At 42.9% G+C, this 15,523-nt stretch overlaps 2 annotated features.

Annotated features, from left to right (window-relative positions):
• Nucleotides 13,249–14,018: an enhancer, noted in NCBI's record as "OCT4-NANOG hESC enhancer chrY:28797811-28798580 (GRCh37/hg19 assembly coordinates)". NCBI's record gives its function as "activates a minimal SCP1, AML or CMV promoter by ChIP-STARR-seq in primed H9 embryonic stem cells {active_cell/tissue: H9 hESC(primed)}" and the evidence as "EXISTENCE:reporter gene assay evidence [ECO:0000049][PMID:30033119]".
• Nucleotides 14,191–14,880: an enhancer, noted in NCBI's record as "OCT4-NANOG hESC enhancer chrY:28798753-28799442 (GRCh37/hg19 assembly coordinates)". NCBI's record gives its function as "activates a minimal SCP1, AML or CMV promoter by ChIP-STARR-seq in primed H9 embryonic stem cells {active_cell/tissue: H9 hESC(primed)}" and the evidence as "EXISTENCE:reporter gene assay evidence [ECO:0000049][PMID:30033119]".

Genomic DNA, 15,523 nt, shown 5'->3' on the forward strand with positions numbered 1-15,523 from the left:
ATGGAAAAAGTGGAATCAAATGGAATCGAATGTAATCAAATCGAATGGATTCGAATTGCATCGAATGGAATTGAATGGAATGCGGAGAAGTGGAGTGGAGTGGAATGGAGTGGAATGGAAAGGGGTGGAATGGAATTGAATGGAGTGGAGGGGAGTGCTGTGGAGGGAACTGGAGTGGAATAGAATGGAATGGGAAGGAATGGAATTGAATGGAGTGGAGTGGAGTAGAGTGGAGTGCAGGGGAGTGGAGTGGAGAGTAGTAGAATGGATTGGAGTGGAATGGAGTGGAGTGAAATGGAATGGAATGGAATGAACTGGAATGGAATGGAATGGAATCGAATCACAAGGAACCAAATCAAATCGAATCAAGTGGAAAAAAATGGAATCAAATGGAAATGATCGAATGAATTCGAATGGCATCAAATGGAATCGAATGGAATGTGTTGAAGTGGAGTGGAATGGAGAGCAATGGAATGGAATGGAATGCAGTGGAATAGAATTGAATGGAGTGGAGTGGAGTGGACTGGAGTAGAATGGAAAGGAATGGGAAGGAATGGAATTGAACGGAGAGGAGTAGAGTGGAGTAGAGTGGAGTGGAATGGAATGGAAGGGAATTGCATGGAATTGAATTGAATCGAATTGGATGGAAAAAATGGAACCGAATGGAATTGAATGGAATCGAAACAAGTGCATTCAAATGGCTTCAAATGGAATCAAATGGAAGGTGGTGAATTGAAACAAAACGAATGGAAAAAATGGAACTGAATGGAAATGAAAGGACTAGAATTCAACAAATTCGAACGGCATCGAATGGAATCGAATGCAATGCGGGGAAGTAGAGTGGAGTACGAATGGAAGTGAATGCAATGTGGGGAAGTGGAATGGAGTGGAATAGAATGGGGTGGAATGGAATTGAATGGAGTGGAGTGAAGCGGACCAGAGTGAAATGGAATGGAATAGGAAGGAATGGAATGGAACAGAGTGGAGTGGAGTGGAATGGAGTGGAATGTAGAGCAGTGGAATGGAGTGGAGTGGATTGGAATGGACCATAGTGGAGTGGAATCAAATGGAATGGAGTGGAGTGGAATGGAATAGAAAGGAGTGGAGAGTAATGGAATGGAATTTATTGGAGTAAAGTGGAGTGGAGTGGAATGGAGTGGAGTGGAGTGGAATGGAATGGAATGGAATGGAATGGAACGGAATGGAGTGGAGTGGAATGGAATGGAATCAAATCTGATGGAATCGAATCACATGGAATTCAATCAAATCGAATGGAATCGAATGGAAAAAAGGGAATTGAATGGAATCAAAGGTAACTGAATTGAATGGATTCGAATGGCATCGAATGGAATTGACTGGAATGTGATGAAGTGGAGTGGAGTGGAATGGAGTGGAATGGAATGGGGTGGAATGGAATTGAATGGAGTGGAATGGAGTGGAGTGACATGGAGTGGATTGGAGTGGAGTGGAGTGGAATGGAATGAAATGGAATGGAGTGGAATGGAACAGAATGGAATGGAATGAAATCTAATCACATGGAATTGAATCAAATCGAATTAAATGGAAAAAATGGAACCAAAGGGAATCGAATCGAGTGGATTCCAACGGCATCGAATGGAATCAAATGGAAGGTGGTGAAGTGGAGTGGTGTTGAGTGGAATGGTGTGGAATGGAATTGAATGAATTGGCATGGAGTGGAATGGAGGGGACTGGAATGGAAAGGAATGGAAAGGGAAGAAATGGAATTGAATGGAGTGCAGTAGAGTGGAGTGCAGTGGAGTGGAGTGGAGTGGATTGCAGTGGAATAGAGTGGAGCGGAATGGAATGGAATGGAATGGAATGGCATGGAATGGGATGGAATGGAATGGAATCACATGGAATCGAATCAAATCAAATGGAATTGAATCAAATTGAATCAAATGGAAAAAATGGAATTGAATGGAATCTAATCGAATGGATTAAAATGGCATAGAATGGAATCGAATGAAATGCGGTGAAGTGGAGTGGAGTGGAATGGAGTAGAATGAAATGGAATGGGAAGGAAAGGAACTGAATGCAGTGGAGTGGAGTGGAGTGGCACGGAGTGGATTGGAGTGGAATGGAGTGGAGTGGAATGGAATGGAATGGAATGGAATGGAGTGGAATGGAATGGAATTGAATGGAGTGGAATGGAACGGAATGGAATGGAATGGAATCAAATCACATGGAATTGAATCAAATCGAATTGAATGGAAAAAATGGAACCAAATGGAATCGAACGGAATCGAATCAAGTACATTCGAAGGGCATCAAATGGAATCAAATGGAAGGCGGTGAAGTGGAGTGGTGTTGAGTGGAATGGTGTGGAGTGGAATTGAATGGAGTGGAGTGGAACGGAGATGACTGGAATGGAAAGGAATGGAATGGGAAAGAATGGAATTCAAAGGAGTGGAGTGGAGTGCAGTGGAGTGGATTGGAGTGGAATAGAGTGGAGATGAATGGAATGGAATGCAATCGACTTTGAATAGCCATGGAATGGAATGGAATCCGCAGGGAATCAAATCAAATAGAATGGAATTGAATCAGATAGAATCAAATGCAAAAATGGAATTGAATGGAATCTAATCAAATGGATTAAAATGGTGTAGAATGGAATCAAATGGAATGCAGAGAAGTGGAGTGGAGTGGAGTAGACTGGAGTGGAATGGAATGGAATGGGAAGGAATGGAATTCAATGGAGTGGAGTGGAGTGCAGTGGAGTGGAATGGAGTGGCATGGAGTGGATTGGAGTGGAATGGAGTGGAGTGGAATGGAATGGAATGGAATGGAAACGAATGGAATAGAATCAAATTGAATCGATTCAAATCAAATGGAAAAAATGGAATCGAATGGAATTGAAAAGATTCGAATGGCATCGAATGGAATCAAATGGAATGCCATGAAGTGGAATGGAGTGGAATGGAGTGGAATGGAAAGGAGTGGAAAGGAATTGAATGAAGTGGAGTGGAGTGCAGTTGAGTGGAGAGGAGTGGAGTGGAATGGACTGGAGTGGAGTGGATTGGAGTGGAATGGAGTGGAGTGGAATGGAATGGGATGTACTGGAAGGGAATGCAATAGAATGGAATTGCATGAGGTTGAATTGAATCGAATTGAATGGAAAAAAAAGGAGTCGAATGGAATTGAACGGAATCAAATCAAATGGATTCAAATGGCAGCGAATGGAATCGAATGGAATGCGATGAAGTGGAGTGTAGAGGAATGGAGTGCAACGGATTTTGGTGGAATGGAATTGAATGGACTGGAGTGGAATGTAGTGGACAGGAGTGGAATGGAATGTAATGGGAAGGAATGGAATTGAACGGAGTGGAGTACAGTGGAATGGAGAAAAGTAGTGTGGAAAGGAATGGAGTGGAATGTGATGGAGTGGAATGGAGTGGAATGGAATGGAATGGAACAGAGTGGAGTGGAGTGGAGTGAAATGGAGTGGAGTGGAGTGTAATGCAATGGAATGGAATGGAATGCAATAGAGAGGAGTGGAGTGGAGTGGATTGGAGTGCAGTGTAGTGTAGTATAGTATAGGGCAATGGAATGGAATGGAAAGGAATGGAGTTGAGTGGAGTGGTGTGGAGTGGAGAGGAGTGGAGTGGAATGGAGAGGAGTGGAGTGCAGTGAAGTGGACCAGATTAGAGTGGAATGGAATGCAGTGGAGTTGAATGGAATGTAATGAAGTGGAATTTAGTGGAATGAAGTGGAATGGAATGGAATGGAGTAGAGAGGAATGGAATGGAGTGTAGTGGAATGGAAGGGATTGTAGTGGATTGGAGTGGAACGGAATGGAATTGAGTGGTAGGGACTGGAATGGAATGGAATGGAATCAAATCAAAGGGAATCTAATCTAATCAAAATGAATCACATCGAATTGAATGGAAAAAATGGAATTGAATGGAATCGAAAGGAATCAAATCGAATGGAATAGAATAGCATAGAATGGAATCAAATGGAATGAGGTGAAGTGGAGTGGAGGGGAATGGATTGGAATGAAATGGGTTGGAAAGGAATCGAACGGACTGGAGTGGATTGAACTGGAGTGGAGTGGAATGGGACGGAGTGGAAAGTAGTGGAGTGGAGTGGATTGGTGTGGAATGCAGTGGAGTGGAGTGGAGCGGAGGGGATTGGAGTGGAATGGAGTGGAGTGGAATGGAATGGAATGGAATGGAATGAATTGGACCGGAATGCAATGGAATGGAATGGAATAGCATAAAATCGAATCAAAGCAAATTGAATCGATTTGAATCGAATTGTATGGAAAAAAATGGAATCAAATGGAATCCAATAGAATGGATTCGAATAGCATCGAATGGAATTGAATGGAATGCGGGGAAGTGGACTGGAGTGGAATGGAATGGGGTGGAATAGAATTGAATGGAGTGGACTGGAGTGGATTGGAGTGGAATGGAATGGAGTGGGAATGAATGGAATTGAATGGAGTGGAGTGGAGGTGAGTGCAGTGGAATGGAGAGGAATGGAGTGAAGTGGAGTGGAATGGACTAGAGTGGAATGGAATGGTGCAGACAGGAATGGAATGAAGTGGAGTGGAAGGGAATGGAATGGAATTGACTGGAATGGAGTGGAATGGAATGGAATAGAGTGGAATGAAATGGAAAGGAATGGAATGGAATGGAGTAGAATGGAATGGAATGGAATAGAGTGGAGTGGAGTCGAGTGGATTGGAATGGAATGGAACGGAATGAGTTGAAACGAAATTGAATTGTAGGGAATCGAATCAAATCAAATCAAATCAAATCACATCAAAACGAATAGAATGGAAAAAATGGAAGTGAATGGAATAGAATGGAATCGAATCAAATGAATTTGAATGGCATCAAATGGAGTCAAATGGAATGTGGTGAAGTGGAGTGGAGAGGAGTGGAATGGAGTAGAATGGAGTGGAATGGAGTGGAATGGAGTGGAGTGGAAGGGAGTGGAAAGGAGTGGAATGGCGTGGATAGGTATGAAATGGAATGCATTGGAATGGAGTGGAATGGAATGCAATGAATGGAATCGGATGGAATTGAAACGAATCAAATCAAATTGAATCGAATGGACCAAATGGAATCAAATGATATCAAACAAAATTGAATCAAACGGAATTGAATGGAATAGAATGAAATCAAATGGAAAGTGGTGAAGTGGAGTGTAGTGGAATGGAGTTTAATGGAATGGGTTGGAATGGAATTGAATGGACTGGAGTGGATTGGAGTGGAATGAAGTGGAGTGAGTGGAGTGGAATGGAGAGGAAAGTAGTTTAGTGGAGTGGATTGGAGTGGAATGGAGTGGAGTGGAATGGAATGGATTGGACTGAAATGGAATGGAATGGAATCAAATGGAATTGCATGGAATCAAATTGAACCAAATCTAATCAAATTTAATAGAATCAAAAGGGAAAAGTGGAATCAAAAGAAATCAAATTCAATGGATAGGAAAGGCATCGAATGGAATTGAATGGAATGCGATGAAGTGGAGTGGAGTAGAATGGAGTGGAATGGAATCGGATGAAATGGAATTGAATGGAGTGGAGTGGTGTGGAGTGGACGGAGTATAATGGAATGGGAAGAAATGGAATTGAATGGAGTGGACTTGAGTGGGGTGGAATGGAGAGGAATGGAGGGGAAACGAGTGGAATGGAGGGGAAAAGAGAGGAATGGAGGGGAAAGTACTGGAAAGGAGTGAAGTGGAGGGGAATGGAGTAAAGTGGAATTGAATGCAGTGGAGTGGAATGGAATGGAATGGGCAGGAATGGAATTCAAAGGGGTGAATTGGAATTGAGTGCTGTGGATTGGAGTAGACTGCATTGTAGTGGATTGGAGAGGAAAGAAGTGGAGTGGAATGGAATGGAATGCAATGGAGTGGAGTGGAATGGAATGGAGTGGAGTAGAATGGAATTTAATGGAGTGGAGTGGAATTGAGTGGAATGGAGAGTAATGGAGTGGAGTGGACTGGAGCGAAGTGGAGTGTAGTGCATTGGACTGTAGGGGATTGAAGTGGCTTGGAGTGCAATGGAGCGGAGTGGAATGGAATGGAATGGAATGGAGTGGAATGGAATCGAATCATATGGAACTGAATCAAATCGAATTGAATGAAATTGAATGGAAAAAATGGAATCCAATGGAATCAAATCGAATGGATTCGAATGACATTGAATGGAATCGAAATGAATGCAGTGAGGTGGAGTTGAGTGGAGTGGAGTGGAATGGAATGGGATGAATGGAATTGACTGGAGAGGAGTGGAATGGAATGGAATGGAAAGCAATGGAATTGAACAAAATGGAGTGTAGTAGAATGTAGTGGATTGGAGTGGAGTGCCGGGGAGTGCAGTGAAATGAAGAGGATTGTAGTTGAATGGAATGGAATGGTATGGAACGTACTGGAATGGAATGGATAAGAACGGAATGGAATGGAATCGCATGGAATTGAAAAGAATCAAATCGAATTGAATAGAATCAAATGGAAAAAATGGAGGCAAATGGAATCGAATGTCATAGAATCGAACGGTTTTGAATGTCAGTGAATGGAAACGAATGGAATGCGATGAAGTGGAGTGGAGTGGAGTGGAAAGGAGTGCAATGGAATAGGGTGGAACAGAATTTAATGGAACAGAGTGGATTGGAGTGGACTGGAGTGGAATGGAAAGGGAAGGAATGGGATTGAAAAGAGTGGCGTGCAGTGGAGTGGAGTGGCACGGAGTGGAGTGGAGTGGAGTGGAGTGGAATGGAGTGGAATGGAATGGAGTGGAATGGAGTGGATTGGAATGGAATGGAGTGCAGAGGAATGGAATGGAATGGTATAGAGTGGACAGGAATGGAGTGGAGTGGATTGGAATGGAATGGAATGTAAGGGAATGGAACTGAATGGACTGGAATGGAATGGAATAGAATGGAATCGCAGGGAATCAAATTGGATTGAATCGAATCGAATGGAAAAAATGAAATCAAATGAAATTGAATGGAATCGAATTGAATGTAAACAATGGAATCCAAAGGAGACAAATGGAATCGAATCAAATGGTTTTGAATGGCATCAAATGAAACGGCATAGAAGGCAGTGAATTGGAGTGGAGTGGAATAGAGAGGAATGAATTGGAATGGAGTGTAGTGGAATGGCGTGGATTCCAGTGGAGTGGAGTAGATTGGATTGGAATGGAATGGAATAGACTGGATTGGAGTGGTGCAGAGTGGAGTGGAATGGAGTGCAAAGGAATGGAGTGGAGTGAAGTCCAGTTGAGTGGAATGGAATGGAGTGGAGCAGAGTGGAATGCAAAAGAATGAAGTGGATTGTTATGGAATGGAATGGCGTGGAATGGCGTGGAATAGAATGAAATTAAATCGCATGGAATGATACCAAATCAAATCGAATCAAACGGAAAATTATGAATCCAATGGAATCGAAAGGATTCTAAAGGAATGGATTCGAAAGGCATTGAATGGAATGTAAAGGAATGCAGTGGAGTGGAGTGGAGTGGAATGTTTTAGAGTAAACTTGGGTGGATTGGAAATCTATGGAGAGGAGTGCAGTGAAGTGGATTGGAGTGGAATGGAGTGCAATGGACTGGAGTGGACTGGAATGGATTGGAGTGGAGTGGATTGGATCGGAGCGGAGTGCCGTGGAGTGGACTAGAGTGAGGTGGAGTGGAGTGCATTGGAGTGGAATGGAGTGGAGTGGGGTGCAATGGAATGGAATGGCATCAAATCGCATGGTAATGAATCAAATGGAATCAAATCGAATGGAAATAATGGAATCGAAGGCAAACGAATGGAATCGAATTGCACTGATTCTACTGACTTCGAACAAAATGAAATGAAACGCGCTGAAGTGGAGTGGAGTGGAATGTATTGGGTGGAATGGAATAGAATGGTGTGGAGTGGAGTGGAGTGACCCAGGAGTGGAATGGGAAGAAATGGAATTGAAGGGAGTGGAGTGGAGTGGAATGGGGCATAATGGAGTGGAATAGTGTGGAGTGGAGTAGAGTGGAATGGGTTGGAATGGAATGCAGAGGACAGGATTGGAGTGCGTTGGACTGGAGTGCAGTAGAGTTGAGTGGAGTGGAGTGGATTGAAATAGAGCGGAGCAGAGTGGGATGGAATTGAATCACATGGTATTGAATCAAATCGAATGGAATTAAATCGAATGTAAAAATGGAATCAAATGCAAACGAATGGAGTCAAACCACATTGGTTAAACTGACATCGAATAATATCAAAAGAAATGTGGTGAAGTGGAGTGGAGTGTAACGAAATGGAGTGGAATGAAATTGAATGGAGTGGGGTCGATTGGAGTCTACTGGAGTGGAATAGAATGGAATGGAAAGGAATGGAATAGAATGGAGTGAAGTGTAGTGCAGTGAAATGGAGTGGAAAGGAATGGAATGGAATGGAATGGAATCAAATGGAATCGAAGTGAATCGCATCTAATGAAATTGATCGGAAAAAATGGAATGGAGTAGAATCGAATAATATGGATTCAAAAGGCAACAAATAGAATTGAATGGAATGCGGTGAGTTGGAGGGCATTGGAATGGAGTTGAATGGAATGGCGTGTAATTGAATTGAATGGAGTGGAGTGGATTGGAGTGGACTGGAGTGGAATGGAACAGAATGGGCAGGAATGGAATTGAAAGGCGTGAATTGTAATTGAGTGCTGTGGATTGGAGTAGACTGCATTGTAGTGGATTGCAGTGGAAAGAAGTGGAGTGGAATGGAATGGAAGGCAATGGAGTGGAGGGGAATGGAATGGAGTGGAGTAGAATGGAATTTAATGGAGTGGAGTGGAATTGAGTGGAATGGAGAGTAATGGAGTGGAGTGGACTGGAGCGAAGTGGAGTGTAGTGCATTAGACTGTAGGGGATTGAAGTGGCTTGGAGTGCAATGGAGTGGAGTGGAATGGAATGTAATGGAATGGAATGGAATGGAATGGAATGGAATGGAGTGGAATGGAATCGAATCACATGGAACTGAATCAAATCGAATTGAATGAAATTGAATGGAAAAAATGGAATGAAATGGAATCAAATCGAATGGATTCGAATGACATTGAATGGAATCGAAAGGAATGCAGTGAGGTGTAGTTGAGTGGAGTGGAGTGGAATGGAATGGGATGAATGGAATTGACTGGAGAGGAGTGGAATGGAATGGAATGGAAAGGAATGGAATTGAACGAAATGGAGTGTAGTAGAATGTAGTGGATTGGAGTGGAGTGCAGAGGAGTGCAGTGGAATGAAGAGGAGTGTAGTTGAATGGAATGGAATGGTATGGAACGTACTGGAATGGAATGGATAAGAATGGAATGGAATGGAATCGCATAGAATTGAATAGAATGAAATCGAATTGAATAGAATCAAATGGAAAAAATGGAGGCAAATGGAATCGAATGTCATAGAATCGAACGGTTTTGAATGTCAGAGAATGGAAACGAATGGAATGCGATGATGTAGAGCGGAGTGGAGTGGAAAGGAGTGCAATGGAATAGGGTGGAAAAGAATTTAATGGAACAGAGTGGATTGGAGTGGACTGGAGTGGAATGGAATGGGAAGGAATGGGATTGAAAGGAGTGGCGTGCAGTGGAGTGGAGTGGCATGGAGTGGAGTGGAGTGGAATGGAGTGGAATGGAATGGAGTGGAATGGAGTGGATTGGAATGGAATGGAGTGCAGAGGAATGGAATGGAATGGTATAGAGTGGACAGGAATGGAGTGGAGTGGATTGGAATGGAATGGAATGTAAGGGAATGGAACTGAATGGACTGGAATGGAATGGAATAGAATGGAATCGCAGGGAATCAAATTGGATTGAATCGAATCGAATGGAAAAAATGAAAACAAATGAAATTGAATGGAATCGAATTGAATGTAAACAATGGAATCCAATGGAGTCAAATGGAATCGAATCAAATGGTTTTGAATGGCATCAAATGAAATGGCATGGAAGGCAGTGAATTGGAGTGGAGTGGAATAGAGAGGAATGAATTGGAATGGAGTGTAGTGGAATGGAGTGGATTCCAATGGATTGGAGTGGATTGGATTGGAATGGAATGGAATAGATTGGATTGGAGTGGTGCAGAGTGGAGTGGACTGGAGTGCAGAGGAATGGAGTGGAGTGAAGTCCAGTTGAGTGGAATGGAATGGAGTGGAGCAGAGTGGAATGCAAAAGAATGAAGTGGATTGTTATGGAATGGAATGGCGTGGAATGGCGTGGAATAGAATGGAATTGAATCGTATGGAATGATACCAAATCAAATCGAATCAAACGGAAAATTATGAATCCAATGGAATCGAAAGGATTCTAAAGGAATGGATTCGAAAGGCATTGAATGGAATGGAAAGGAATGCAATGGAGTGGAGTGGATTGGAATGTTTTAGAGTAAACTTGCGCTGGATTGGAAATCTATGGAGAGGAGTGCAGTGAAGTGGATTGGAGTGGAATGGAGTGCAATGGACTGGAGTGGACTGGAATGGATTGGAGTGGAGTGGAGTGGATCGGAGCAGAGTGCCGTGGAGTGGACTAGAGTGAGGTGGAGTGGAGTGCATTGGAGTGGAATGGAGTGGAGTGGGGTGCAACGGAATGGAATGGCATCAAATCGCATGGTAATGAATCAAATGGAATCAAATGGAATGGAAATAATGGAATCGAAGGCAAACGAATGGAATCGAATTGCACTGATTCTACTGACTTCGAACAAAATGAAATGAAACGCGGTGAAGTGGAGTGGAGTGGAATGTATTGGGTGGAATGGAATAGAATGGTGTGGAGTGGAGTGGAGTGCCCAGGAGTGGAATGGGAAGAAATGGAATTGAACGGAGTGGAGTGGAGTGGAATGGGGCATAATGGAGTGGAATAGTGTGGAGTGGAGTAGAGTGGAATAGGTTGGAATGGAATGCAGAGGACAGGATTGGAGTGCGGTGGACTGGAGTGGAGTAGAGTTGAGTGGAGTGGAGTGGATTGAAATAGAGTGGAGCAGAGTGGGATGGAATTGAATCACATGGAATTGAATCAAATCGAATGGAATTAAATCGAATGAAAAAATGAAATCAAATGTAAACGAATGGAGTCAAACCACATTGGTTAAACTGACATCGAATAATATCAAAAGAAATGTGGTGAAGTGGAGTGGAGTGTAACGAATGGAGTGGAATGAAATTGAATGGAGTGGGGTCGATTGGAGTCTACTGGAGTGGAATGGAATGGAATGGAAAGGAATGGAATAGAATGGAGTGAAGTGCAGTGCAGTGAAATGGAGTGGAAATGAATGGAATGGAATGGAATGGAATCAAATGGAATCGAAGTGAATCGAATCTAATGAAATTGATCAGAAAAAATGGAATGGAGTAGAATCGAATAATATGGATTCAAAAGGCAACAAATAGAATGAATGGAATGCGGTGAGTTGGAGGGCAATGGAATGGAGTTGAATGGAATGGGGTGTAATTGAATTGAATGGAGTGGAGTGGATTGGAGTGGACTGGAGTGGAATGGAACGGAATGGGCCGGAATGGAATTGAAAGGGGTGAATTGGAATTGAGTGCTGTGGATTGGAGTAGACTGCATTGTAGTGGATTGGAGTGGAAAGAAGTGGAGTGGAATGGAATGGAATGCAATGGAGTGGAGTGGAATGGAATGGAGTGGATTAGAATGGAATTTAATGGAGTGCAGTGGAATTGAGTGGAATGGAGAGTAATGGAGTGGAGTGGGCTGCAGCGAAGTGGAGTGTAGTGCATTGGACTGTAGGGGATTGAAGTGGCTTGGAGTGCAATGGAGTGGAGTGGAATGGAATGTAATGCAATGGAATTGAATGGAATGGAATGTAGTGGAATGGAATCGAATCACATGGAACTGAATCAAATCGAATTGAATGAAATTGAATGGAAAAAATGGAATCCAATGGAATCAAATCGAATGGATTCGAATGACATTGAATGGAATCGAAATGAATGCAGTGAGGTGGAGTTGAGTGGAGTGGAGTGGAATGGAATGGGATGAATGGAATTGACTGGAGAGGAGTGGAATGGAATGGAATGGAAAGCAATGGAATTGAACGAAATGGAGTGTAGTAGAATGTAGTGGATTGGAGTGGAGTGCCGGGGAGTGCAGTGAAATGAAGAGGATTGTAGTTGAATGGAATGGAATGGTATGGAACGTACTGGAATGGAATGGATAAGAACGGAATGGAATGGAATCGCATGGAATTGAAAAGAATCAAATCGAATTGAATAGAATCAAATGGAAAAAATGGAGGCAAATGGAATCGAATGTCATAGAATCGAACGGTTTTGAATGTCAGTGAATGGAAACGAATGGAATGCGATGAAGTGGAGCGGAGTGGAGTGGAAAGGAGTGCAATGGAATAGGGTGGAACAGAATTTAATGGAACAGAGTGGATTGGAGTGGACTGGAGTGGAATGGAAAGGGAAGGAATGGGATTGAAAGGAGTGGCGTGCAGTGGAGTGGAGTGGCATGGAGTGGAGTGGAGTGGAATGGAGTGGAATGGAATGGAGTGGAATGGAGTGGATTGGAATGGAATGGAGTGCAGAGGAATGGAATGGAATGGTATAGAGTGGACAGGAATGGAGTGGAGTGGATTGGAATGGAATGGAATGTAAGGGAATGGAACTGAATGGACTGGAATGGAATGGAATAGAATGGAATCGCAGGGAATCAAATTAGATTGAATCGAATCGAATGGAAAAAATGAAATCAAATGAAATTGAATGGAATCGAATAGAATGTAAACAATGGAATCCAATGGAATCCAATGGAATCGAATCAAATGGTTTTGAATGGCATCAAATAAAATGGCATGGAAGGCAGTGAATTGGAGTGGAGTGGAATAGAGAGGAACGAATTGGAATGGAGTGTAGTGGAATGGCGTGGATTCCAGTGGAGTGGAGTGGATTGGATTGGAATGGAATGGAATAGATTGGATTGGAGTGGTGCAGAGTGGAGTGGACTGGAGTGCAGAGGAATGGAGTGGAGTGAAGTCCAGTTGAGTGGAATGGAATGGAGTGGAGCAGAGTGGAATGCAAAAGAATGAAGTGGATTGGTATGGAATGGAATGGCGAGGAATGGCGTGGAATAGAAAGGAATGGAATCGCATGGAACGATACCAAATCAAATCGAATCAAACGGAAAATTATGAATCCAATGGAATCGAAAGGATTATAAAGGAATGGATTCGAAATGCATTGAATGGAATGGAAAGGAATGCAGTGAAGTGGAGTGGAGTGGAATGTTTTAGAGTGAACTGGGGTGGATTGGAACTCTATGGAGAGGAGTGGAGTGAAGTGGATTGGAGTGGAATGGAATGCGGTGAAGTGGAGTGGATTGGAATGTAGTGGAATGGAAAGTGGTGGAATGGAATTGAAAGGTGTTGAGTGGAGTGGAGTAGAAAGGACTGGAGTGGAATGGAAGGGAATGGGAAGGAATGGAATTGAACAGAGTGGAGTGGAGTAGGGTGGAATGGAGAGGAATGGAGTGGAAAGGAGTGGAATGGAGTGAAGTGGAGTGGAATGAACTAGAGTGGAGTGGAATGGAGTAGAGTGGAATTGAATAGAATGGAATCAAATCCAATCAACTCGAATGGAAAAAATGGAACTGAATGGAATAAAATGGAATCAAATCAAACGGATTGGAATGGCAGGAAATGGAATTGAATGGAATGGAATGGAGTGAAGTGGAATGGAGTGAAGTGGAATGGAGTGGAATGGAATGGGGTGTAATGGAATTGAAAGGAATGGAGTGTACTGGAATAGAATGGAATGGAATGGGAAGAATGGAATTGAATGCAGTGGAGTGGAGTGAAGAGCAGTGGAGTGGAGTGGAATGGAGTGGAGTGGATTGTAGAGGAATTTAGTGGAGTGGAATGGAATGGAATGGAAAGGAATTAAGTGGAAAGGAATGGATTGGAAAGGAACGGGATGAAAAGGAATCAAATGGAATCGAATCAAATTGAATCAAATAAAAAAATGGAATTGAATGGAATCGAATGGAATCGAATCGAATGGATTTGAATGGCATCGAATGGAATCGAGTGGAATGCGGTGAAGTGGAGTGGAGAGGAATGGGGTGGAAAGGAATGGAGTGAAGTGGAGTGGAGAGGAATGGAATGGAGTGGACTGGAATGGAATGGAATGGAATTGAGACAAATTGCACGGAATTGAATCGGATGGAATCAAATCAAATCAAATCAAATTGAATCAAAAGGAAAAGGAATCGAATGGAATCAAATGAAATGGATTCAAATGGCATCAAAAGGAATCAAATGAAATGCGGTGAAGTGGAGTGGAGTGGAATGGAGTGGAATGGAATGGGGAGGAATGGAATTGAATGGAGTGCAGTGGAGCGAAGTGGAGTGTATTGGAGTGGACTGGAGTGCAGTGAAGTGGAGTGGAGTGGATTGGAGTGGAATTGAGTGGAGTGGAGGGGAATGGAATGGAATGGAATGGAATTGCATGGAATCAAATCGAATCAAAATGAATTGAATCAAATCAAAAGGAAAAAAGGGAATCAAATGGAATTGAATTGAATGGAATAGAATGGCATCAAATGGATTCGAATGGAAAGCGTGGAAGTGGAGTGGAGTGGATTGGAGTGGAATGGAATGGAGTGGAGTGGAATGGAATGTAGTGGAGTGGAATGGGATGGAATGGAATGGAATGCAATGGGAGTCGAACAGCATGAAATCGAATTGCATGGAATCAAAATGAATCGAATCAAATCAAATCAAATCAAATGGAAAAAGTGGATTTGAATGGCATCAAATGGAGTCGAACGGAATGCGGTGAAGTGGAGGGGAGTGGAGTGGAATGGAGTGGAATGTAATTGGGTGGAATAAAATTGAATGAAGTGAAGTGGAGTGCAGTGGAGTGGACTGTAGTGAAATGGAATGGAATGGGAAGGAATGAAATTGAGCAGAGTGGAGTGGCGTGGAGTGGAGTGCAGTGGAGTGGAGTGGAATGGAGTGAAATGGAGTGGAACCGAATGGAATGCAATGAAATGGAATGGAATGGAATTGAATTGCATGTAATCAAATAGCTTGGAATCAAAATGAATCAAATCAAATGGAAAAAATGGAATCGAGTGTAATCAAATGCCATCAAATGGAATCAAATGGAATGCAGTGAAGAGGAGTGGAGTGGATTGGAGTGGAGTGGAGTGGACTGGAGTGGAATGGAATGGAATGGGAAGGAATGGAATAGAACGGAGTGGAGTGGAGTGGAGTGCAGTGGCATGCAGTGGAGTGGAGTGGATTAGAGTGGATTGGAGTGGAATGGCGTGGAGTGGAGTGGAATGGAATGAAATGGACTGGACTGGAATGGAATGGAATGGAATGGAATTGAATCACATTAAATCGAGTCGAATCACATCAAATCGAATGGAAACAATGGAATAGAATGGAATCAAATGGAATCAAATCGAATGGATTTGAAAGACATCGAACACATTTGAAAAGATTGCTGTAAAGTGGAGTGGAGTGGAATGGAGTGGAATGGAATGGGAT

The sequence above is a fragment of the Homo sapiens genome, chromosome Y (assembly GCF_000001405.40).
Source record: "Homo sapiens chromosome Y, GRCh38.p14 Primary Assembly".
Classification (NCBI taxonomy): domain Eukaryota; kingdom Metazoa; phylum Chordata; class Mammalia; order Primates; family Hominidae; genus Homo; species Homo sapiens.